Source organism: Homo sapiens, chromosome 22, assembly GCF_000001405.40.
Source record: "Homo sapiens chromosome 22, GRCh38.p14 Primary Assembly".
Classification (NCBI taxonomy): domain Eukaryota; kingdom Metazoa; phylum Chordata; class Mammalia; order Primates; family Hominidae; genus Homo; species Homo sapiens.
This window is the reverse complement of record NC_000022.11, coordinates 28,732,742-28,757,936: the sequence shown is the minus strand read 5'-3', so window position 1 is coordinate 28,757,936 and position 25,195 is coordinate 28,732,742. Positions and strand designations below refer to the sequence as shown.

The 25,195-nt window shown below is 46.1% G+C and overlaps 2 protein-coding genes across 29 annotated transcripts in view, besides 6 other annotated features; one reads left to right on the top strand and one right to left on the bottom strand.

Moving 5' to 3' along the window:
• Nucleotides 1-426: 426 nt before the first annotated feature.
• Nucleotides 427-15,905, bottom strand: HSCB (HscB mitochondrial iron-sulfur cluster cochaperone). Of its 8 annotated transcripts, none has more exons than NR_134560.2 (6): nucleotides 15,606-15,898; nucleotides 14,014-14,055; nucleotides 13,233-13,322; nucleotides 11,929-12,073; nucleotides 6,649-6,696; nucleotides 427-859 (listed from the first exon to the last, which is right to left on the bottom strand). NR_134560.2 is itself a non-coding variant. In XM_005261359.5 (6 exons), exons 1-6 carry the CDS (start codon nucleotides 15,754-15,756, stop codon nucleotides 768-770), a joined length of 672 nt encoding a protein of 223 aa, XP_005261416.1. In that variant the 5' UTR covers nucleotides 15,757-15,898; the 3' UTR covers nucleotides 427-767. The 8 variants fall into 8 exon arrangements, 7 of the variants coding, with proteins under 7 accessions (XP_005261416.1, NP_741999.3, NP_001305245.1 ...); XM_005261359.5 differs by having other exon boundaries at nucleotides 13,959-14,055; nucleotides 15,557-15,898; NM_172002.5 differs by having other exon boundaries at nucleotides 13,959-14,055.
• Nucleotides 15,431-15,490: an enhancer, noted in NCBI's record as "active region_18806". NCBI's record gives its function as "activates an Ori minimal core promoter by ATAC-STARR-seq in GM12878 lymphoblastoid cells {active_cell/tissue: GM12878}" and the evidence as "EXISTENCE:reporter gene assay evidence [ECO:0000049][PMID:35858748]".
• Nucleotides 15,561-15,640: an enhancer, noted in NCBI's record as "active region_18805". NCBI's record gives its function as "activates an Ori minimal core promoter by ATAC-STARR-seq in GM12878 lymphoblastoid cells {active_cell/tissue: GM12878}" and the evidence as "EXISTENCE:reporter gene assay evidence [ECO:0000049][PMID:35858748]".
• Nucleotides 16,103-25,195, top strand: part of CHEK2 (checkpoint kinase 2) — a 54,093-nt gene continuing 45,000 nt past the window's right edge. For 8 of the 21 annotated variants that reach the window (NM_001349956.3, NM_145862.3, NM_001257387.3 and 5 more), the window contains exons 1-2: nucleotides 16,117-16,168; nucleotides 23,210-23,534. In NM_001349956.3, the coding sequence (NP_001336885.1) occupies nucleotides 23,216-23,534 (319 nt within the window). In that variant the 5' untranslated portion in view covers nucleotides 16,117-16,168; nucleotides 23,210-23,215. Of the gene's footprint in view, nucleotides 16,169-19,110; nucleotides 20,678-23,209; nucleotides 23,535-25,195 lie in introns of those variants that run through there. The other 13 variants (XR_937806.3, XR_937807.3, XM_011529844.3 and 10 more) reach the window with 9 other exon arrangements.
• Nucleotides 16,171-16,370: an enhancer, noted in NCBI's record as "active region_18804". NCBI's record gives its function as "activates an Ori minimal core promoter by ATAC-STARR-seq in GM12878 lymphoblastoid cells {active_cell/tissue: GM12878}" and the evidence as "EXISTENCE:reporter gene assay evidence [ECO:0000049][PMID:35858748]".
• Nucleotides 19,608-20,108: an enhancer, noted in NCBI's record as "H3K27ac hESC enhancer chr22:29133817-29134317 (GRCh37/hg19 assembly coordinates)". NCBI's record gives its function as "activates a minimal SCP1, AML or CMV promoter by ChIP-STARR-seq in naive H9 embryonic stem cells {active_cell/tissue: H9 hESC(naive)}" and the evidence as "EXISTENCE:reporter gene assay evidence [ECO:0000049][PMID:30033119]".
• Nucleotides 20,613-21,130: an enhancer, noted in NCBI's record as "H3K27ac hESC enhancer chr22:29132795-29133312 (GRCh37/hg19 assembly coordinates)". NCBI's record gives its function as "activates a minimal SCP1, AML or CMV promoter by ChIP-STARR-seq in primed H9 embryonic stem cells {active_cell/tissue: H9 hESC(primed)}" and the evidence as "EXISTENCE:reporter gene assay evidence [ECO:0000049][PMID:30033119]".
• Nucleotides 21,131-21,648: an enhancer, noted in NCBI's record as "OCT4-NANOG-H3K27ac hESC enhancer chr22:29132277-29132794 (GRCh37/hg19 assembly coordinates)". NCBI's record gives its function as "activates a minimal SCP1, AML or CMV promoter by ChIP-STARR-seq in naive and primed H9 embryonic stem cells {active_cell/tissue: H9 hESC(naive and primed)}" and the evidence as "EXISTENCE:reporter gene assay evidence [ECO:0000049][PMID:30033119]".

Sequence of the window (25,195 nt, the reverse complement as noted above, 5' to 3'; positions counted from 1 at the left end):
CTAAGGCCATAGCGGATCTGACAGGAAACGGAGCTCAGGCGGTAATGCTTGCTTGCTCGCTCACTTGCCACTCACCTCCTGCTGTGGGGTCCAGTTCCTAACAGGTTGGGGACCCTTGATATAGTCCACAAAGTTGAAAATATTCACTACCAGGCCCTTTGCAGAGAAGTTTTTGGATTCCTCTTTGTAGGGCCTCAAATTGGCCCCATCTCCACCTCTTCAACCATTAGCCTACACTGGGGTCATGTTGTATCAAGTATCAGATGAAGAACTGACCACCCAAGCTCTGACTAGGCTGTGTTTCTTCCCACATGACAAACTTTGCCATCCACTAATGCTTGAGCCATAGGCTTAATTAAGATGATATAAACGGTAAAGGCTTATCTATTCCCAATTACCAGAAGCCAGAAAAGAAATATACAAGAATTTTATTTTTCATTTATTTATTTTTCAAGATTAAGTCTCACTCTGTTGCCCAAGCTGGAGTGCAGTTGCGTGATCTCTGCTCACTGCAACCTCCACCTCACGGGTTTAAGCGATTCTCCTGCCTCGGCCTACCAAGTAGCTGGGATTACAGGCACGCGCCACCATGCCCGGCTAATTTTTGTATTTTCAGCAGAGACGGGGTTTCACTATGTTGGCCAAGCTGGTCTTGAACTCCTGACCTTGTCATCCACCCACCTCAGCCTCCCAAAGTGCTGGGATTACAGGTGTGAGCCACTGTGCCCAGCAAGAACTTTATTTTTTAAACTTTAAACTATCCACAATTAAAGGGGAATCTTCTTTAACTTGATCTTTTCTTCTATATTTGAAAAGTATCTCATCTTTGTCAAAATTTCCTTGGCTTCTTCAAAGTCATCTGAAATAGACAGAGACACTGAAGTCAGGCTTCATTTCAAGCAAGAATAAAACCAACTCTGATGACTAGGGCAGCGATATATAAGTGGAGCCCTGGGGTCCGGAGGGCTCATCAATTCCTCAGTAAGACTGAGCAACGAAGAGGGAGAACATCTGGATTGTTAAGGAGACACAGGGATAAACCAAATGGGGCGAGAGTTGTGTAAGAGCATGTGTACAGGATTCACATAAATTAGAGAAGTTGATTCTCTTCAGGACAGTCCCAAGTAATAAATGGGTGGTGGAAGCTAGATGCAGGAGCTCATACCTGCTATCCCAGCATTTTGGGAGGCTGAGGCGGGAGGATGGCTTGAGCCCAGGAATTGAAGACCAGCCTGGGCAACAAAGCAAGACCCTGTCTTTACCAAAAATAAAAAATAAAAAATAAAAAATAAAATAAAAAATTAGCCAGGCATGGTGGCACATGCCTGTAGTCCTGGCCACTCGGGAGGCTGAGGTGGGAGGATCCCTTGAGCCCAGGAGTTTGAGGTTGCACTGAGCTATGACTGTGCCACTGTACTTCAACCTGGGCGACAGGGTGAGACCCTGTCTCTTTAAAAAAAAAAAAAAAAGGGTGGGTGGTTGTGTTTTAAAAATTTCTCCCTAACATGTGGTGGTATACTGAGGATATGAAAGCACTGAATGCTTCCTCTATGCCAGGTGCTGAGGCATAGAGCTGCCTTCAGGGGGCTTACAGTTCAGGTGCTGAGGCACAGAGGTACCCTCCGGGGGCTTATAGTTCCCAAGAAAGACACCTTTAGACCGGTGATTTTCCTTTTTTTTTTTTTTTGTGAGATGGAGCCTCACTCTGTTGCCCAGGCTGGAGTACAGTGGCGTGATCTCAGCTCACTGCAACCTCCACCTCCCGGGTTCAACCAATACTCATGCCTCAGTCTCCAGAGTAGCTGGTACTACAGGGTGTGCGCCACCATGCCTGGCCAATTTTTGCATTTTTAGTAGAGGCAGGGTTTCACCATGTTGGCCATGGCTGCTCTCAAACTCCTGATCTCAAGTGATCCGCCTGCCTTGGACTCCCAAAGTGCTGGGATTATAGGTGTGAGCCACCATGCCTGGCCAGACCAGTGATTTTCAACTGGGGATGATTTTGCCCCCATGGGGACATCTGGCAATGTCTGGAGATATTTTTGGTTGTCACAGCTGGGAGGTAGTACTGACATCTGGTGGGTACAGGCCAGGGATGCTGCTAATCATCTTATAGTACTCAGGACAGCTCCCCCAAACGAAGAATTATCTGGCTTACAATATCCGTAGTGCCAAGGTTGAGAAAACCTGACTTAGATAAGTAAAACACAATGTGAAGAGTGCTAAAATGAAGATATGTTATAACCATTTGCATCATTCCAGATGACTCCAAAAATAAAATATTAAGCAAAAAAGTCACAGAAGGATATGTATTATTTATATAAAGAAAAATATGTGAGACTAAATAATATACTATTATGTACATATATGGTTAAAACTATCAAGAAAAGCAAGGGAATGAGTAACACAAAATTCAGGAGTGGTTACTGTGGAAGGGAGATGTAATGGCAAAATGTCAACCAGGGACTTGGAAGGCCTTGGTCGTATTTCATTTCTCAATTTAATTTATTTAACATTTTATTTTTTTGAGATGGAGTCTTGCTCTGTCACCCAGGCCGGAGTGCAGTGGCGCAATCTTGGCTCACTGCAAACTCTGCCTCCCCGGTTCACGCCATTCTCCTGCCTCAGCCTCCTGAGTAGCTGGGACTACAGGTGCCCGCCACCTTGCCCGGCTAATTTTTTGTATTTTTAGTAGAGACGGGGTTTCACCGTGTTAGCCAGGATGGTCTCCATCTCCTGACCTCGTGATCCGCCCGCCTCGGCCTCCCAAAGTGCTGGGATTACAGGCGTGAGCCACCGCGCCCGGCCTATTTAACATCTTTTTTGTATTCAAAAAATTTTAGGGCCAGGCGCGGTGGCTCACGCCTGTAATCCCAGCACTTTGGGAGGCCGAGGTGGGCGGATCATGAGGTCAGGAGTTCAAGACCAGCCTGGCCAACATGGTGAAATCCCATCTCTACTAAAAATACAAAAATTAGCCGGGTGTGGTGGCAGGCTCCTGTAATCACAGCTACTTGGGAGGCTGAGGCAGGAGAATCACTTGAAACCGAAAGGCTGAGGTTGCAGTGAGCTGAGATCATGCCACAGTACTCTAGCCTGGGCGAAAGAGCAAAACTCAGTCTCAAAAAAAAAAAAAATTAAGTTGGTAACACATGACATAAAATTCATCATGTTAGCCATTTCTAAGTGTACAGTTCAATGACATTAAGTACATTCACATTGTTGGGCAAGCATCACCACCATCCATCCACATAACTTTTTTTTTTTGAGATAGAGTCTTGCTTTGTTGCCCAGGCTGGAATGCAGTGGCATGATCTTGGCTCACTGCAGCCTCCACCTCCCGGGTTCAAGTGATTCTTGTGCCTCAGACTCCCAAGTAGCTGGGATTACAGGCATGCATCATCACACCTGGCTAATTTTTGTATTTGCAGTAAAGACGGGGTTTCACCATGTTGGTCAGGCTGGTCTCAAATTCCTGCCCTGAGATGATCTGTCTGCCTCAGTCTCTCAAAGTGCTGGGATTACAGGTGGGAGCCACCGTGCCTGACCTTCCACAGAACTCTTTTCATCTTGCAAAACTGAAGCTCTCTACTTATGAAATAACTCTCTATTTTCCTCTTCCTGACTCTATCCCCCCACAACCACCATTCCACTTTCTCTATGAATCTGACTACCACAGGTACCTCATATAAGTGGAATTATATAGTATTTGTCCTTTTGTGACTGACATTTCACATAGTACAATGTCCTCAAGGTTCATCCATGTTGGAGCCTGTGTCAGATTTTTTTTTGTTTGTTTGTTTTTGAGATGGAGTTTCGCTCTTGTTGCCGTCAGGAGTGCAGTGACACGATCTCGGCTCACTGCAAACTCCACCTTCCAATTTCAAGCGATACTCCTGCCTCAGCCTCCTGAGTAGCTGGGATTACAGGCATCTGCCACCACACCCAGCTAATTTTTCAGAGACGGGGTTTCACCATGTTGGCCAGGCTGGTCTAGAACTCTTGACCTTGTGATCTGCCGACCTTGGCCTCCCAAACTGCTAGGATTACAGGCGTGAGCCACCGCGCCCGGTCCTGTGTCAGAATTTCTTTTTTTTTTGAGATGGAGTCTCCCTGTGTCACCCAGGCCGAAGTGCAGTGAGGTGGTCTCCACTCACTGCAAGCTCCACCTCCCAGGTTCACGCCATTCTCCTGCCTCAGCCTCCTGAGTAGCTGGGACTACAGGTGCCCGCCACCACGCCTGGCTGATTTTTTGTATATTTAGTAGAGACGGGGTTTCACCGTGTTAGCTAGGATGGTCTCGATCTCCTCACCTCATGACCCACCCGCCTCAGCCTCCCAAAGTGCTGGGATTACAGGCGTGAGCCACCGTGCCCGGCTGGTGTCAGAATTTCTATCCTTTTTTTTTGAGTTGGAGTTTTTCTCTTGTCGCCCAGGCTGGAGTGCAATGGTGCGATCTCAGCTCACTGCAACATCTGTCTCCCGGGTTCAAGCGATCTTCCTGCCTCAGCCTCCTGAGTAGCTGGGATTACAGGCGCCCGCCACCATGCCACCCTAATTTTTTTGTATTTTTAGTAGAGATGGGGTTTTACCATGTTGGCCAGGCAGGTCTCGAACTCCGGACCTCAAATGATCCGCCCGCCTCAGCCTCCCAAAGTGCTGGGATTACAGATGTGAGCCACCACGCCCGGTCTAATGTTGCTTTTATTATTTTGAAAACACTTTGTTAGATCAATTTAAAAAATAAGTTTTAATTTTGCATTTACTTATTCCTTTCTCCAATGGTCTTCCTTTCGTTATGTAGACCCAAGTTTCCGACCTATATAAATTTCCTCCACTCTAAATAATTTTTTTTTTTGAGATGGCATCTCATTCTGTCACCCAGGTTGGAGTGCATTGGCGTGATCTCGGCTCACTGCAACCTCCGACTTCCGGGATCAAGCCATTCTCCTGCCTCAGCCTTCGGAGTAGCTGGGATTACAGGCGAGCGCCACCATGCCTGGCTACTTTTTGTATTTTTAGTAGAGACGGGGTTCCACCATGTTTGTCAGGCTGGTCTCGAACTCCTGACCTTGTGATCCGCCCACCTTGGCCTCTCAAAATGTGGGGATTACAGGCGTGAGCCACCACGCCTAGCCAATCAATTCTTTTAACATTTTTTTTACGTGGCAGGTCTCCTGTCAACAAATTTTTTTTTTTTTTTGAGATGGAGTCTCGCTCTGTTGCACAGGCTGGAGTGCAGTGGCGCGATCTCTGCTCACTGCAAGCTCCGCCTCCCGGGTTCACGCCATTCTCCTGCCTCAGCCTCCCGAGTAGCTGGGACTACAGACGGTCACCACCAGGCCTGGCTAATTTTTTGTATTTTTAGTAGAGACAGGGTTTCACTGTGTTAGCCAGGATATTCTCAATCTCCTGACCTTGTGATCCGCCAGCCTCAGCCTCTCAAAGTGCTGGGGTTACAGGCATCATTAACCATGCCCGGCCCAATTTTTTTTTTTTTTTTTTTTGAGACAAAGTCTTGCTCTGTCACCAGGCTGGAGTGCAGTGGCGTGATCTTGGCTTACTGCAGCCTCCGCCTCCCAGGTTCAAACGATTCTCCTGCCTCAGCCTCCCTAGTAGCTGGGATTACAGGCGCGCCACTGCGCCTGGCTAATTTTGTATTTTTAGTAGAGATGGGGTTTCACCATGTTGGCCAGGATGGTCTTGATCTCTTGATCCACCCGCCTCGGCCTCCCAAAGTGTTGGGATTACAAGTGTGAGCCACCGCGCCCAGCCCAAATTCCTTCAATTTTTATTTGCCTGAGAATAGCTTCATTCCTCCTTCAGGTTTTTTTTTTGTTTGTTTTGAGAGGGAGTCTCGCTTTGTTGCCCAGGCTGGAGTGCAGTGGCGTGATCTTGGCTCACTGCAACCTCAGCCTCCCTGGTTCAAGCAATTCTCCTGGCCTCAGCCTCTTGAGTAGCTGGGACTGTAGGCACATGCCACCACACTCAGTTAATTTTTGTATTTTTAGTAGAGCTGGAGTTTCACCATGTTGGCCAGGCTGGTCTCAAACCCCTAACCTCAAGTGATCTGCCCACCTCACCCTCCCAAAGTGTTGGGATAACAGGCGTGAGTCACTGTTCCCAGATCACTTTTTTGATATAGTTTGTTTCTCTAGAAAGGCAGAAATGTTGATTTTTTTTTTTTTTTTGAGATGGAGTCTCGCTCTGTCACTCAGGCTGGCGTGCAGTGGCACGATCTCAGCTCACTCCAACTTCCGCCTCCCTGGTTCAAGCGATTCTCCTGCCTCAGCCTCCCAAGTAGCTGGGACTACAGGCGTTGTGCCACCACACCCAGTTAATTTTGTATTTTTAGTAGAGACAGAGTTTCACCGTGTTAGCCAGGATGGTCTCAATCTCCTGACTTCGTGATCCGCCCGCCTTAGCCTCCCAGTGTTGGGATTACAGGCATTAGCCACCGTGCCTGGCCAGAAATGTAGATTCTTAAAGGCATTTTTTTAAAGACAGAAATGTAGACTCATAAGTATTTCATATCTCCCTATATAGCTATCATAGGAAGGTATATAATAGCTAGTTATTGAATGAATGGCTATGCTTCAGTGCTTGAAATTTCTTTCCATATTTAAGAAAGTGAAGAAAAGAAAGTACCTTGTTCAAAAGCACTGCTCACATTGTCAGTAAATTCTTTCTGTTTAGCTGAAAAAGAAAACCATTCTGTTAATTTTTCCATTGAAATAGACTCATAATATGAAGACAATACTTAAACTTTGTAATCATGCTGGTTTGAACACAACAAAGGAGGAAGTTTGTATTCAAGGGTAAGGCTTCATAACCTTTGTCTCTGTGTGTACCATGATGGCAGCTGCTGTTTAGCACAACTCTGGTTTACCCTAATAACACTGTTTTTCCAACCATGAAAGGTCTAAGGAGCAATCACCAAGGCTTATAAAATGGCTATAGAATCAGTAAAAAAAAAAAAAAAAAAAAAAAAGACAAAGATATACTTTGATTATCTCCACGAAACAGTTTGGGTCTTCGACATTTCAGCAAGGAGAACATTAACATGCTGGGAACACCTATCAGTAAAGCATTACTGAGTGTTTCCGGCAACCACTTGCAAACTGTATAGCCTCTCAGGAAAATGAAAACATTTACATCATGTTGTGTCATAAGGGAGAAGATGCCAAACAAAATAAAGCAGCAGCTATCTCATATTTCTCGTTTCCTTGTTAGAAAATGAGGAATTTTCCAGTAATCTCATTTTCCAGATATAAATAGTGTCAGTTATTTATATGGTGTCGTCTTTCGAAGCACTGTCAAATACATTATATCCGTAAGGCAGGAAATGACAGGTATTGGGGGAATTGTCCCATGGGTGATGAGTGGAAGAGCTGGGAACAGAATCCAAGTCACTTGACTCCCAGTCCGGTGTTTGAAACTCATCTCTCAGGTAGCAGTGTGGTGTCCACAAAAGAACAACAGACTAGGAACCTGGAGGTTCTTAAGCCCTGACCCTAAAATTAACTAGCTCTATGCCCTTGAACATTAATTTTACCTGGGCCATAGCAGATACCTTACAGGAGAAAATTTAGGAATTAATCTAAATTAAGGTCAGTGAGCTGCTCAAAGTCAAATGTTTACTATAGGGCTAGAATAAGTGTTTTTTTTTTTTTTTTTTTTTTTTTTTTTGAGACAGTTTCGCTCTTGTTGCCCAGGCTGTAGTGCAATGGTGCGATCTCGGCTCACTGCAACCTCCACCTCCTGAGTTCAAGCAATTCTCCTGCCTCAGCCTCTGAAGTTGCTGGGATTATAGGTGTGTGCCACCATGCCCGGCTAATTTTGTATTTTTAGTAGAGACAGGGTTTTGCCATGTTGGTCAGGGTGGTCTTGAACTCCTGACCTCAGGTAATCTGCCCATCTCAGCCTCCCAAAGTAATGGGATTATAGGCATAAGACACCAAACCTGGCCTAGAATACATGCTTTTACGTGCTTTATCTCATTTAACTTGATCCCCACAACCACCAGTACTAATATTATCTCCACGTACAGATGAGGAAATTGAGGCTCAGAGGAATGAAGTCATTTGTTCAAGGTCACGCAAAGTCAGTAGCACGCTGCCCTCACTCCAGATCTTCATGCTGCCCTGACGTCTAAAATTGGGCAGCTGAGCCCACTGACTGCAACTCCTGAGTTTCTCTTATCCCTACAACCCAGTCCTAATGCTGTGAACATATCTCCAAGCTGACGGTCCCCTCACCACAAATTCTATATTACTGCTTTAAACATCTTTTCTCATTACTGTTTGCTCATTTAGTAAATACCAAGTTCCTTTTAAACTATAAGTACTTTTCTGTGAGCTGAGGATGTGAGGGAAGCAAAAAGTAGACATGATTTCTCCTGCAGAACTTCCAGTCTAATGAGGGAGGCTGATATTGATCAATTAATGTCACATAGAACAGTAAAGTTATAACTGTGATTAGTCCTACAAAAGAAATAGCCACTACTAATAGATAGCTTAAAAAGGCTTCTCTGAGGAAGTGATGATTGCCTTCAGATCTGAAGAAGGAGGGGTTAACTTAAATGGGGCGGAGGAGAGGAGGGTTTCAGGCAGAAGCAACAGGCCCTAGGGTAGGAGGGTGCCCAGTATAGATGAGGAACTGGAAGTGGTCATTGTGGCTGGAGTGGAGAAGGCAAAACAGAGAGAAGCAGAGGCCACGGCATCCGGGCCCTGTAAGGGATGCTAAAGAGTTTTAGAGCAGTGAGAAGCCACTTAAAAGTTTTTTTTTTTTTTCTTTGAGACGTGTTTTCGCTCTGTTGCTGAAACTGGAGTGCAATGGTGCAAACACGGTTCACTGCAGTCTCCACCTCCTGGGCTCAAGTGATCCTTCTGCTTCAGCCTCTCGAGTAGCAGGGACTACAGGCATGCGCCACCACATCTGGTTAATTTTTAAATTTTTAATGGAGATGGGGGTCTTGCTATGTTGACTAGGCTAGTCTTGAACTCCTGGGCTCAAGTGATCCTTCCACTTCAGCCTCCCAAAGTGCTTGGATTACAGGCGTAAGCCATCACACCTGGTCAATTGAAATAAGGCCAAGAGTAGTGATTAGATTTGGGTTTTGGCCGGGCTTGGTGGCTCACACCTGTAATCCCAGCACTTTGGGAGGCTGAGATGGATGGATCACCTGAGGTCAGGAGTTTGAGACCAGCCTGGGCAACATGGTAAAACCCCGTCACTACTTAAAAAAAATAGAAAAATTAGCCAAGCATGGTGGCACGCACCTGTAGTCCCAGCTACTTGGGAGGCAGAGGCAGGAGAATAGCTGGAACCTGGGAGGCGGAGGTTGCAGTGAGCCGAGATCATGCCAGTGCACTCCAGCCTGGGCAACAGAGCAAGACTCTGTCTCAAAAACAAAACAAAACAACAAAAAAAAACGCTTGGGTTTCAAAAAGATTCCAGTGACAGTGAAGGGATTTGTTAGATGGGGCCTGAAGGTACGGACAGACCAGTGAAAAGCTACTGCAGTTGTCCAGGTGAGAGTGAATGGTAGCTTGGAAAAGGCTGGTGGCAGTGAAAGTAGAGATGGGTGGATGAATTTGAGGCAAATTTAAGTCAGCTCTTTCAGATGTAATAGATTGACTATGGGCATAAGGAAGAAGAAGGTTGTTAAGGCCTCCTCAGAATTTACGCTTGTGCAAGTGGTGTCACTCTCTCAGGGAACACTGGAAGAGGAACAGATTATTATTATTTTTTATTCGGAGTCTCGCTCTGTCACTCAGGCTGGAGTGCAGTGGCACAATCTCGGCTCACTGCAACCTCCGCCTCCCGGGTTCAAGCGATTCTCCCGCCTCAGCCTCCCGAGTAGCTGGCACTACAGGCGTGTGCTAACACGCCCGGCTAATTTTTTATATTTTTAGTAGAGACAGGGTTTCATCATGTTACCCAGGATGGTCTTGATCTCCTGACCTCGTGATCTGCCTGCCTCGGCCTCCCAAAGTGCTGGGATTACAGGCGTGAGCCACTGCACCCAGCCTAAGAGGAACAGATTTTTTTGGGGGGGAAAGGTGGGGAGGGGAGACACTTGGGAATTCCATTTTGGGTACAGTTGACATATATAAACTCCAAGAAGGCACAGTCTTTCTTGTTCCGTGCTGTATCCTCAGTGTCATGCACAGTGCTTGATATTTGTAGGTACACTACAAATATTTGTGAAAGTACATAACTGAATATAGTCTAACGGAGAACCTTGGAATCTTTTCTATGTGGAATGGTTAATTTTATGCGTCAACTTGGCTAGGCTATGGTGCCCAGTTGCTTGATCAAACACTAATCTATGCCAGGCACATTGAGTCACACCTGTAATCCCAGCACTTTGGGAGACTGAGGAAGGTGGATTGCTTTGAACCTAGGAGTTTGAAGCCAGCCTGGGCAACATGGTGAAACCCCATCTGTATAAAAGACAGAAAAAATTAGCCAGGCATGGTGATGCATGCCTGTAGTCCCAGCTATCCAAGAGGCTAAGGTGAGAGGACTGTTTGAGCCCATGGGTCAAGGCTGCAGTGAGCTGTGATTGCAACACTGCGCTCCAGCCTGGGTGACAGAGTGAGACCATGTCTCAAAAAAAACAAAAACCAACTAGTTTAGATGATCCTGTGAAAGTATTCGTAGATGTGATTAACATTTATAATCAGTTGACTTTAAGTAACAGATGTTACTCTATATAATGTGGGTGGGCCTCATCCAATCAAGTAGAGGCATTAAGTGCAAAAACAGGTTTTCTGGGAAGGAATTCTGTATCAAGACTGTAACATAGAAATCCTGCCTGGACTTTCAGCCTGCTTATCTACCCCTATAGATTTTGTTTATTTTTTTTGTGACAGGGTCTCACTCTGTCACTCAGGCTGGAGTACAGTGGTGTGATCTCAGCTCACTGCAACCTCTGCCTCCTGGGCTCAGATGATTCTCCCACCTCATCCTCCTGAATAGCTGGGACCACAAGTGCGCACCTCCACGCTTGGCTGATTTTTTTTTTTTTTTTGAGACGGAGTCTCACTCTGTCGTCCAGGCTATAATGCAGTGGCACGATCTGGGCTCACTGCAAGCTCCGCCTCCCAAGCTCAAGCGATTCTCCTGCTTCAGCTTCCCGAGTAGTTGGGATTACAGGCATGCACCACCATGCCTGGCTAATTTTGTATTTTAGGCAGAGACGGGGTTTCTCCATGTTGGCCTGGCTGGTCTCGAACTCCCAACCTCAGGTGACCCACCCGCCTTGGCCTCCCAAAGTGCTGGGATTACAGGCGTGAGCCACCACACCTGGCCTACGCTTGGCTGATTTTTTTGTATTTTTTTAGAGATGGGGTTTCGCCACGTTGCCCAGGCTGGTCTCGAACTCCTGGACTCAAGTGATCTGCCTTCCTCGGCCTCTCAAAATACTGGGATTACAGGCATGAGCCACTGTGCCCAGCCCTACCCTATAGATTTTAGATGTGTCAGCTCCCACAATTATGTGAGCTAATTCCTTAAAATAAATAACCTTTTTTTTTTTTTTTTTTTTTTGAGATGGAGTCTCGCTCTGTCGCCCAGGCTGGAGTGCAGTGGCCTGATCTCCGCTTACTGCAATCTCTGCCTCTCGGGTTCACGCCATTCTCCTGCCTCAGCCTCCCGAGTAGCTGGGACTACAGGCACCCGCCACCACGCCCGGCTAATTTTTGTATTTTCAGTAGAGACAGGGTTTTACCATGTTGGCCAGGCTGATCTTGAACTCCTGACCTCAGGTGATCCACTTGCCTTGGCCTCCCAAAGTGCTGGGATTATAGGCGTGAGCCACTGCACCCGGGCCATTATATACTCTACGTTCATTTTTCACTAATCCTTGGACAAGTGTTCATAACAGCAATGAAATACATTCAGTGCTATTTTATCTTTCACCTTTGACAATGGATTCAATCTCTTTCATGGCAGCTTCACTTTCAGCTTCTGCGAGTTTTTCATTGATTTCCATTATTTCTATGAGGAATTGCCTGTCCATTTCATAATCTGTCCTTTCAGGAATCTCTATTCCATGGAGCTTTAGCTATTGGGGTAGAAAGCAAGAAAAATAAGTTGAAGAAGCTATGGGCAGAGTAATGTAAATCCTACTCATCCATTAGGAAATAATACCACTAATAGAGAAAACTGCAACTGTCCCGATAATGAAAGACTAAGGGGTATCAAAAGCTTGGACTGAAACAGAAATGCTGGAATGGGATTTCCACTCATGCTACCCAAAACTATGTGACCTTGGTGTGATCTTGGGGTAGTCATTCCTCCACTCAGAGGTTGAACTAGATGTTTGTAAAGATTCTATTCAATTATAAAATTTTCTAGATTGTAAGATACTTTTTTTTTTTTGAGATGAAGTCTCACTCTGTCGCCCAGGCTGGAGTGCAGTGGTGTGATCTCAGCTCACTGCAACCTCTGCCTCCTGGGGAAGCAATTCTCTGCCTCAGCCTCCCGAGTAGCTGGGATTACAGGCACCCGCCACCATGCCCGGCTAATTTTTTTGTATTTTTGGTAGAGGCGGGGTTTCACCATCTTGACCAGGCTGGTCTTGAACTCCTGACCTCGTGATCCACCCGCCTCGGCCTCCCAAAGTGCTGGGATTACAGGCGTGAGCCACCATGCCTGGCCTCTTAAGATACTCTGGAGAGGAAAAAAAAACAAAACAGAAAATGACTCTTAACTAAAAGCTACCATCATCAAATCCTTGAAATTCACAGAAAAAAGCTAGAAAATCACAATTTAAAAAATGCAGTTGAGGCAAGTAATATTCACAGAGAAAATTATACTTGTGCTCTGAGGCTAAATACTATTGGGTCCCTGGACTTTTTTTTTTTTTTTTTGAGAGGGTGCAGTAGTACAATCACAGCTCACTGCAGCCTTGACCTCTCAGGCTCAAGTGATCCTCCTGCTTCAGCTTCCAGAGTAGCTGGGACTACAGGTGTATGCCAACATGCCCAGCTAATTTTTGTATTTTTTGTAGAAATGGGGTGTCATCATGTTGCCCAGGATGGTCTTGAACTCCTGGGCTGAAGTGATCTGACCACCTCAGCCTCTGAAAGTTCTGGGATTACAGGTGTGAGCCACCATGCCTGACCTCAAGCACTCTTCTGCTGAATAAAGGGGACGTGGCTGTCCTACGCCATAATGGGCATCAGGACGTCATACACAGAAGTGTTGGGAAATCACCTTACAAGGTACAGTCCTCTGCTCAGGGGGGCCAGGAGGGTCTTATAGGCATCATTCACCAGGGTCGAATGCTTCTCTGAGAAGTCCTTTTCAGTCTGTTAGTGGAGATGAAGATAGTACTATTACCATCCAAATCACAAAGTTTTTTTGTTTTTGTTTTTGTTTTGACGTTGAGTCATCCAGGCTGGAGTGTGCAGTGGCGCGAACTCAGCTCACTGCAACCTCCACCTCCCACGTTCAAGTGATCCTCCTGCCTTAGCCTCCCAAGAAGCTGGGACTACAAGCATGTGTCACTGCACTGGGCTAATTTTTATATTTTTAGTAGAGACAGGGTTTCACCCTGTTGGCCAGGCTGGTCTTGAACTCCTGACTTCAAGTGATCTGCCTGCCTCGGCCTCCCAAAGTGTTGGGATTACAGGCGTGAGTCACTGTGCCAGGCCCACAAAGTTTTATAATATTCTAATGGGCAGGCACCTAAGGAAGTGGTTAAGTAGAGCTGGTGTGGGATGAGGTGTCTTTATATTCAGCTGATAGGTTTTAAGTTATCTGGGAAGTCAGACAAAAGCTGTGAGTGAATGGCAGCTCTGGGTCTGACAGGCTGGGGTCAGACTGCCATGGGGCAGACACAGCTGATTTTCCAGCTCAGTCCCTGATAATCACATAACCACAAGGCTACTGCCACCCAGTGTGCACACATATTTGGGGATTATTGGGGTTGGCCAATAAGCTACCTGAGACCTCTGGCTGAAGAAATCTGGGTGGACAAGACGCTGCAGTTGCTGGTACCTGTGCTGGAGCTTCGCTGTATCAACTCTGAAGGAACGGTTGCTGGAAGGAAATTGGGAGATTAAATTTATACAACAAATATTTAAAGGTTTATCTACCATGAGCCTGGTTCTTGCTCTTATGGGGAAGATGCAATAACATATAAGCAGTTAATTTCAAAAAGTGGTAAGTCCTATGAAGGGACACAGAACAGAGTCAGAGAGTGTAGCAGATGTAGTGGACAAAGAGATGACACTCAGCTGAAACCTGAATGATGATGAGTAATCAAAGATCAGAGGAAAGAGACGTCCAGGTAGAATTGCAAGAGCAAGGACCTCGAGGTGGGAGCAAGATGGGGATGCCTGAGGAACTTAAAGATCAGCGTTACTGTAGCCCCTCATACATGTTCAGTGACTGGTGGGGAAGATCCCATAGTTAAGGAAAAGGGACATTCCTAAATTACACAGACAAAGATTCTTTGCCTGGCCAAACTTTAGTCAGATTTCTGAACCTTCTCCTAGGCCCAGATGTATGCTTTCTTGTAAAATACAGTTTTGGCAAATAATCTTGCCAAGTCAGTTTAGCTAGAATCCTCGATCCTCATATTTTTGATCATCCTAGATCTCTGATCAGATTCTTCATCCTCTACTATCCCCCAGGTGGTGTCTAAGCAGCCTGGCCTGTCTTCAGCAAGAATCCCGTTAGGTCGGCTTAGCCAGAATCCCGTTTACTCTGCTCCTTGGCTACAAATTTCCTTCTGCCCATGCCCTTTTTGGAGTTGAGACCAATCTCTCTCCCCAACTGCAAGACCCTATTGCAGTGGCCCCTCTACAAGATGGTCTTGAAGAAAGTCTTTCTGGTGCTTGAACAAGTGTGACTGAATCATGTTTTCTTTAATACCACCCTAACTTTTCCACGGCCCAGGTCCCTTCATCCCTGTCTCTCCCGGTTTATTTTAATTCAGCCCCTTTCACATTCTACTCCCAGAGTCTGTCCTATTTCCTTACCAGTTCAGCTCTATCCACACTGCCCCGTCTCTCCAAGAACCTCAGTCTCAGGGGGAAAAACCATTTATTGGACCCTCTCCCTCCAATTCTCACTTTTCCCTCAGGCCTCGCCCACAATATTAAGCTTTTCATGCTTTACTCCCTAATCTCGGATCACACTTCTGCAGTCCTTTCTTAAATACATCAACCCAACTTTAAACCTTACTCACCCTATTCATTCAAGTCTTCCAGTCTCCCAGGCCCTGCCCCTCAAGTACCCTTTCCTCAAGTTCCGCCCCTCGACTTCTCCTTCCCTTTCCCGTAGGTACCGCCCCTCAAATCTCCCTCCCCTCTAGCCTCGGCCCCCCTATTTCCTCTAACTTCAGCGCCCGCCCCTCCAGTCCCGTTCGTCTCCCTTCTCCACACCTCAACGTTGCTTCCCTCAGTCCCCGCCTCTCAATTTCCTCCTGAGAAATCAAGACACTTCTCTCACGCCTGCTCTCTAGACCTCCGCCCCCCCATCAGTCCCGCCTTCTCTTCCGCCAGCCAGATCCGTCCTCCCCTCTCGCAGGCCAGACCTCGACGTGTCTCTCGCCCGGGCCCGTTTCCCGAAACCGTCGCTCGTACCAGTCCATAAGGCTGAAGTAGTCTCGAGTGGGGTCAGGTGCCTGCAGCGCTCGGCACTGTGGGCAGAAGAACCTGTCCTCCCGCCCGGGGCCCCATGGGCCGCCGCAGTTCCAACAGCGGGGATAATTGCTTCCCGCCTGCGACGCAGCATCGCAGCTTAGCGGTCTCCTTCTGGGAACCCCTGTCGGCCAAAACCCCCACACCCGGAGCAAAGCCCCGGCTCTCCCCCGCCACATCTGGCCGGCGGCCTATCTAGCCGTGGTCACTCGTGGGGAAAAGCAAAGAGAGCGTCTAACCAGACTAATGTTGCTGATTGGCTGGGGAGTCGAGGGGGCGGGATCACCCGAGGGGAACCCGGGTTCTAAGTTCCGCTCTCCCTTCTAAACTACAACTCCCAGGAGGCATTGAGGCGGCGCCTGACGGCCACATCTGCTGCTCCTCATTGGTCCGGCGGCAGGGGAGGGGGTTTTGATTGGCTGAGGGTGGAGTTTGTATCTGCAGGTTTAGCGCCACTCTGCTGGCTGAGGCTGCGGAGAGTGTGCGGCTCCAGGTGGGCTCACGCGGTGAGTCATATGGGGAACTTCTGTTGGGTGTTTGGTGGTTCGAATCCCATCTTAAGCGTTTTGTGCGAACGGAGTCTCCTGAGCTTCGCTTTGTCTGTAGTTTTGAGCTGAAGGGGGAGTGTGTGGGCGACTCTCTTCCTTTTCAGTAGATCATCCTCGAGGTGAAGTTCACTTCCCGTATTACTTGCAAGCTGAAACAGGCCTGAACATACAGGATAAGAAGAACAGCGTTGTATTCTTCAATATCAGAGCGAAGTGACTTCGTAAAAATTCTATAGATGTTAGAAATCGTTGCCATTCTTTAGGTTCAATCTATAAAATACTTATAGAGAAGCCAGTCTTAGCTACTGGGCGCTGCAGGGACTGGAAACGCACTGAGCTGTGTAGGAGGATGTTCTGCGTGTCCCTAAATAAGTCCCTAAGTAAATGTATGGGATAGGGTGGCCAGAAGTGGGTAGGAGGGCATCAGTCCTCCTTCGGACTTAGGTTTTCTGCTTGAAAAAAATATTGTGTTTCACTTGAAAGACCTCTGGAATTTTTAAAAAAAATTATTTATTTTTGATATAAAGTATACATATATGATTACCATCTGTACCTTTTTTTTTTTTTTTTTTTTTTTTGAGACGGAGTCTCTCTCTGTTGCCAGGCTGGAGTGCAGTGGCGCGATCTGGGCTCACTGCAACTTCTGCCTCCTGGGTTCAAGCGATTCTCCTGCCTCAGCCTCCTAAGTATCTGGGATTATAGGTACCCGCCACCATGCCCGGCTAGTATTTTTAGTAGAGACGAGGTTTCACCATGTTGGCCAGGCTGATCCCGAACTCCTGACCTCAGGTGATCCACCTGCCTTGGCCTCCCAAAGTGCTGGGATTACAGGTGTGAGCCACCGCGCCCGGCCTATTTTCAATTTTTTGAGGAATCACAATACTCTTCTCTATAGTGGCTATACTAATTTGCATTCCCACCAGTGGTGTATGTGAACAGTGCAAGGTCAGACATAACCAGGTCCATGCACATTTGTGTCTTTCCACAAGATCAGACTTATTGATGTTTTATTTTAATTGTAAAAGCCACGAGCTATATGGAGTTCCCAAGGAAGCAATTTTCCGTAGTACTCCCTGTTTACTTGGTGGTCAGAGCCATGGGCACACAGGCTCAAGCCATTCCACAAGTCAGTCAGTATTGTAAACCGTACACAATAGTATATTTATTTAATATGTAAATGTTATAGATTAAAAATCTTACATTAAAGTAACATTTAACATTCGGAGAAAAGGGGATAGGGAAAGTGGTTATCAAACCAGTCCAAGGAGAGCAATGTGGACAAAGAGAGTGTTTTGGCTTTATCTGGGGTGTCAGTGTCTTGTAAGGAAGAGTTTTTGATGCGGGCAGAGCCTTTGATGGCGGATACTGGGTGTTAATCATGAGTGACAGCAAGATGGTGTCTGTTAGGACAGCCATTTTGACCTAATAAAGTCCTGCTCTTATGACCAAAGAATTTTCTTGTGAGGACTAATAACAAAAGCGTGTACATATTTATATCCTTATCTGGTTTAGTACAGTGTTTTTTTTGAGACAGAGTCTCGCTTTGTCACCAGGCTGGAGTGCAGTGGTGCGATCTCGGCTCACTGCAACCTCCGACTCCCTGGTTCAAGCGATTCGCCTGCCTCAGCCTCCCGAGTAGCTGGGACTACAGGCACGCGCCACCATGCCCAGCTAAGTTTCGTATTTTTAGTAGAGTTGGGGTTTCACCATGTCGACCAGGATGGTCTCCATCTCCTGACCTTGTGATCCGCCCGCCTTGGCCTCCCAAAGTGCTGAGATTACAGGCGTGAGCCACTGTACATGGCCAGTACAGTCTTTATTAATTAGACAAACATCTGGTCCCTGTTGGCATAATGCCTTTTAAAATATAAGATAGAGCCTTTTTCTAAGATAAAATTACTTATGTCAAGAGCACTCTATACAGTTCCCCTTTCTGCACATTCTTTCCAGCATCTGTTTTGCCTATCTTTTATACAAACCATTTTAACTTGGGTGAGATGGTATCTCATTGTGGGTTTTTTTGTTTGTTTGTTTGTTTGAGACAGAGTCTTACTCTGTCGCCCAGGCTGGAATGCAGTGGCGCGATTTTGGCTCACTGCCTCCTCTGCCTCCCGGGTTCAAGAGATTCTCCTGCCTCAGCCTCCCAAGTAGCTGGGATTATAGACGCCTGCCACCATGCCCAGCTAATTTTCATATTTTTAGTGGAGACAGGTTTCACCATGTTGGCCAGGCTGGTCTCAAACTCCTGACCCCAAGTGATCTGCCCGCCTCCGCCTCCCAAAGTGCTGGGATTACAGGCATGAGCCACTGCACCCGGGCCTCACTGTAGTTTTGATTTATATTTCTCCAGTGATCAGTGATGTTGAGCATTTTTTTAATATACCTGTTGGCCATTTGTATGTCTTCTTTCGAGAAATGTCTTTTCGGATCTTTTGCCCATTTCTTTTTTTTGAGACAGAATCTCACTCTGTCACCTAGCCTCGAGTGCAGTGGTGCGATCTCGGCTCACTGCAACCTCCGTCTCCGTCTCCTGAGTTCAAGTGATTCTCGTGTCTCAGCCTACCAAGTAGCTGGGATTACAGGCACGGGCCACCATGCCCAGCTAATTTTTTGTATTTTTAGTAGAGATGTGGTTTTGCCATGTTGACCAGGCTGGTCTTGAACTCCTGACCTCAGATGATTCACCCACCTTGGCCTCCCAAAGTGCTGGGATTACAGATGTGAGGCACCGTGCCTGGCTTGCCCATTTCTTAAATTGGATTATTTGTCTTTCTGCAGTTGAGTTTCATCTCCTTATATATTCTGGTTATTCATCCCTTGTCAGATGGCTAGTTTGGAAATGTTTTTTCCCATTCTGTGGGTTGTCTCTTCACTTTGTTGATTGTTTCCTTGGCTGTGCAGAAGCTTTTTAGCTTGATGAAATCCCAGTTGTCTGTTTTTGCTTTAGTTGCCTGTGCTTTTGAGGTCTTACGTAAAAACCCTGTGCCCAAAAAACCTGTGCCCAAGATGAGTGTCCTGGAGCACTTCCCCAGTGTTTTCTTCTAGTAGTTTTATAGGTTTTGGGACTGGATTTCTGTCTACAGTCCTGGAGTTTTGCTGCCCTCACTTTGGTTTTTCACTCACTTCTCTGCATGGCTTTCCAATAGCAATAGCTCCCAGATAGCAAGCATGGGTGGGTGGGGGGAGTATTACATGCGTCACTTCACTTAATCCTCATGGTCTGTCTACTTATTTTCAGATGAGAAAACAGGTTTAGAGAAGTTGTGATCTACCTAAAGTCATGCACAGTTTCACTCAAGTGTCTGACTCCAGATCCGCTTGCCTCTAATCTCTCATAGTAACTTGTTGACACATTTTCTCCAGTTGTCCTGTCTTGCTTAAAAAGCTGTGGGGAAGACTCAGCCTGGCTCAGGTAGTATTAGACCAGCAGTCCCTGGTGTGGCATACTCAGTTTTGGCATTGCCTTCCTGGTATGTTTTAAAGAAAACTCATCAGAACCTTTGTATCTTTTTTATTTTCCTTGAGACAGGGTCTCGCTCTGTCACCCAGGCTGGAGTGCAGGCTCGATCACGGCTCACTGCAGCCTCAACCTCCTGGACTCAAGTGATCCTCCCACCTCAGCTTCCCAAGTAGCTGGGACTACAGGTGCACACCACCATGCCCTGCTAATTTTTTGTATTTTCTGTAGATACTGGATTTCACCATGGTGCCCAGGCTGGTCTTGAATTCCTGGGCTCAAGCAATCTACCTGCGTTGGCCTCCCAAAGTGCTGGGATTACAGACATGAACCACCACACCTGGCAGAACCTTTGTATCTTGAAAGCTGTGTAAATACAATCAGTGTGGGTATCTTAGTCCCTCCTTATCAGCGGTAGTAGTTTCACTTACCAATGGTCAGCTGCGATCTGAAACTATTAAGTGGAAAATTCATAAGAAATAGTCAATTCATGGCTGGGCATGGTGGCTCAGGCCTGTAATCCTAGCAGTTTGGGAGGCTGAGGTGGACCTGAGGATCACCTGAGGTCTGCAGTTTGAGACCAGGCTGGCCAATACGGTGAAAACCCTGTCTCTACTAAAAAAAATATACAAATTAGCCGGGCATGGTGGTGTGCGCCTGTAATCCCAACTACTTGGAAGGCTGAAGCAGGAGAATTGCTTGAACCCAGGAGGTGGAGGTTGCAATGAGCCAAAATTGTGCCACTGCACTCCAGCCTGGGTGACTGAGACTCCGTTTCAAAAAAAAAAAAAAAAAGAAATAATCAGTTCATAAGTCTTAAATTACATGGTTTTGCAGTGCTTGTGTTCATGTCACCCTTATATTTAATAATGGCCCCAAAGCAAAAGATGCTGGCAATTTGGATATTGTAAAGAGAAGCTGTAAAGTGTTTCCTTTTACTGAAAAGGTGAAAGATCTCAATTTAATATGGAAATAAAAAAATTTGTATGCTGAGGCTGCTAACGTCTATGGTAAGAACTAATCTTCTATTTGTGAAATTGTGAAGAAGGAAAAAGAAAGTTGTGCATAATTTATATAGGGTTCTGTACTATGCGAGGTTTCAGGCATCCACTGGGGGGTCTTGGATCTTATCCCCCTCTGATGGTGGGGACTACTATAGTGTTGTTTCCTATGTTCTCCTAGAGTAGTAGCCTGAGTTTGGGGAGGAAGAGAATGCCCTCCTCTCCCTCCCTTTTTTTTGTTAATCCGATTAGGTCAGCAGTGGATGTTACTTTGATTTTACTGGTGGTTCTGTTATCAGAGTCTTGGTTTGTTTTCTGTTCTTTGGAGATAGGGTCTCACTCTGCCACCCAGGCTGGTATGTAAGTGGTATGATCATAGCTCACTGCAGCCTTCAACTCCTGGGCTCAAGTGATCCTCCCACCTCACCTTCCTGAGTAGCTGAGCCCACAGCTGCATGCCATCATGTCTAATTTTCTTATTTTTTGTACGGGGGGCGGGGGGGGTCCCACTATGTTGGCCAGGCTGGTATTGAACTCGTGGCCTCAAGTGGTCCTCTTGCCTTGGCCTCCCAAAGTGCTGGGATTACAGGTATGAGCCACTGCACCCAGCCTGTTATGACAGTCTAACTGTCTATCAGGTTAATTCTAAGACAAGGGTGGAAGCCTCTGTTACGGTCTCCAGTTTATAAAAGAATGGTTCCTGCAAGATTACATCAAGGCCGGAAGGCCATTTAGGATGCTGAAAAGATAAGCCCTATGGTTATTTAGCATCACAAAGGGATAGGTGGAGTTGTTAAGAGCTGTCTTCCTTTGTGTTCTGCCTCATTAAGTCACTGGGTCCTTAGGTGTCAGGGAATATAGATTGAACGAACAGGTGTGTTTCACTTTAGGAGCAAGCCTGGGGGAAAAGGGGTACCAGTGACATTTTATGTAAATGGACCCTTTGGAGTAATGCAGCAGGTTATTGTACAATTTCTTTTTGACTTTTATATCAAGCCACCTGATTTTTTGTCTTCTTTTGCTTTCCAAAGTACACAGATGCTCCTCAACTTTCAATGGCATTATGTCTAAATAAAACCATTCTAAGTTGAAAATATTGTTAAATTGAAATTACATTTAATACACCTAAGATACCAAACGTCATAGTTTAGCCTAGCCTCCTTTAAACATGCTCAGAACACTTATGTCAGGGTACAGTTGGGCAAAATTATCTAACACAAAGATTATTGTTATTATTTTTTGTAGAGGTGGGGTCTCAAACACCTGCCCTCAAGCAATCCTCCTACCTCCACCACCCGAAATATTGGGTTTACAGTTGTGAGTCACTGCACCTGGCCTATTTTATTTTATTTTAAAATTTTATTTATTTAATTAATTAATTTTTTTGAGACAGGGTTTCACTCCTGTCACCCAGGCTGGAGTGCAGTGGCGCGATCTCAGCTCAGTGCAACCTCTGCCTCCTGGGCTCGAGCAATTCTCCTGCTTCAGCCTCCTGAGTAGCTGGAACTACAGGCGCCTGCCACCACACCCGGCTAATTTTTGTATTTTTAGTGGACACGGGGTTTGACTGTGTTGGCCAGGCTGGTCTTGAACTCCTGATCTCAGGTGATCTACCTGCCTTGACCCCCCAGAGTTCTGGGATTATAGGTGTGAGCCACTGCACCTGGCCACCTGGCCTATTTTATAATAAGGTGTTAAATATCTCATGTAATTACTTGAATACTGTACTGAAGGTGAAAACCAGAATGGTTATGTGAGGACTTGGAGAAGTAAGTGTCTACTGATTGCTTTCACAGAAAGTCTAAACATTGTTAAATAGAAGCATTGTTAAATTGAGGACTGTATATATGAGTTTTTTTTTTTGAAACGGAGTCTTGCACTGTTGCCCAGGCTGGAGTGCAGTGGTGCAATCTTGGTTCACTGCAACCTCTGCCTCCCGGGCTCAAGCGATTCTCCTGCCTCAGCCTCCCGAGTAGCTGAGAATACAGGTGCCCGCCACCACGCCTGGCTAATTTTTTGTATTTTTAGTAGAGACGGAGTTTCACTATGTTGGCCAGGCTGGTCTTGAACTCCTGACCTCATGATCTGCCCGTCTTGTCCTCCCAAAGTGCGGGACTACAGGAGTGAACCCCCGCGCCTGGCCCCCTGTATATATGAAATTTAAATGTAGTGTTGATTGTATCAGTACATTTTTGGTTTCAGTCTTAATTTAAAAGAATTGGACAAATGTAAGCTTTTATGAGCCCCCCAGCTCAATTTTATTGCTTTTTACTTATTTGTAACCTTCAGATAATTTGTTTTTCCCTGTAGTTTATGGCTGTCAGATAAAAAACTGATCTGGTGACAATGATCTGGTGAAAAGCTCAGCCCAGAAGAACTATAGGTCTGGGCTGTTAGGACTTTTAATTTTTGGAGAGCATGTTTGCCCTGTTTTTTTTTTTTTCTTTTCTTTTGCTGTTGTAATAGGCCCATCATTTACTTTTTAATTTTAAGTCTTGTGCCTTGAAACTCACCTTTGTTGTTGGACACTTTCTTTTTGAGGTCGTGATGTCTCGGGAGTCGGATGTTGAGGCTCAGCAGTCTCATGGCAGCAGTGCCTGTTCACAGCCCCATGGCAGCGTTACCCAGTCCCAAGGCTCCTCCTCACAGTCCCAGGGCATATCCAGCTCCTCTACCAGCACGATGCCAAACTCCAGCCAGTCCTCTCACTCCAGCTCTGGGACACTGAGCTCCTTAGAGACAGTGTCCACTCAGGAACTCTATTCTATTCCTGAGGACCAAGAACCTGAGGACCAAGAACCTGAGGAGCCTACCCCTGCCCCCTGGGCTCGATTATGGGCCCTTCAGGATGGATTTGCCAATCTTGGTAAGACCCTTTGTTGTATAGTATCACGTTTTGTTCAGAAAAACACTTACAGAAAGTTGTATTACCAGGTGGAAGGTTCTGATTGGAGTTGTCCAGGTTTTTGGCACGTTGAACAAATAATTGAACATCATGCATGAACAAGCAATGAAAGCATAGATTTATTGAAGTGGAAGGCAATAGAAGCTAAAGTACATGTCACAGGATGGGAGCAGGCCTGAGCAAGTGGCTGCAGAGCCCTTGTAGCAAAGTCTTCTGGGGTTCAAGTACCCTCTAGAGGTCTCCCACTGTTTACATCCTATGTAAATGAAGTGCTGGCTCACAGCCCATTAGAGGCCAAAGTGAATTGGAGCTCGGCCATTCCAAGACTGGTGTGGATTGACGCCTTATGCAAATGAAGGTCCTAGAATGGACGGATCATAGGCCAGAGTGCAAATTCTTCCTTTTTTGTTTAGTTTCAGGAATTTTTTTTTTTTTTTTTTTGGCAACGGAGTCTTGCTCTGTCGCACAGACAAGTGCAGTGACGCCATCTCGGCTCGGCTCACTGCAGCCTCTGACTCCTGGGTTCAAGCGATTCTCCTGTCTCAGATTCCTGAGTAGCTGGGATTACAGACACACACCACCACACCTGGCTAATTTTTGTATTTTTAGTAGAGACGGGGTTTCACCACGTTGGCCAGGCTGGTCTCGAACTCCTGGCCTCAAGTGATCCTCCTGCTTCGGCCTCCCAAAGTGTTGGGATTACAGGCATGAGCAACCGTGCCCATCTATTCCAGGAAGTTTGCGTGAATTGGCCATAGATTCCCTGCCTTCAGACCCTATTTTCCTGCCTTAGTTAGTTGCAGCAGAATGCTTGAGCCACTCTTAGAATAATTCTGGAGTTTGAATGTGATAAAAGGTAAAACCAAAGAGGCAGTATTGGGTGTTGCCCTGGCTGTTACCTGCTGTGGATTCTGTTCATTTACTCTTTCAACAAATAATAATTGGACATTTACAATGTGCTGTCCATCCAAAGATCTGAAGGTAGCTTTGGACCCTCTTCCTAGAAAAATGCAGATTCACTCAAACTTGCAAACATTATCCCCTAATCACAAAAGCTTCACTAGTTAACCTCTGCTGTGGTTTGCCACAGCTTCAGAGAATCAGAGCTGTTCAGAATAGAGATGGCCATTTGTTGACTACTTGTTACTTGTTTTTGTCTCAAAATAGCCAACCTTGTGATTTAAACATGTTGACCCTTTCTGACACCTCCTGGTTCCAATAGTAAGTTTTGCTCTGCATATGTTTAAAATACACATGTGTGTATTTTAACATTGCCAGGCATGGTGGCTCACGCCTGTAATCCCAGCACTTTGGGAGGCCAAAGCGGGAGGATCACTTGAGGCCAGGAGTTCGAAACCAGCTTGGGCAACATGGCAAAACCCTGTCTCTCCTGAAAATACAAAAATTAGCCAGGTGTGGTGGCGCATGTCTGCAATCCCAGCTACTCAGGAGGATGAGACATGAGAATTGCTTGAACCTGGGAGGCAGAGGTTGCAATGAGCCAGGATTGCACCACTGCACTCCGGCCAAAAAAAATAGTGTTTTTTTTCCTTTCGCTTACATTGCAATGACCTCTTTAATAAACAAATTTGAACTTGGCATTAACAGGATAGAATATGTTA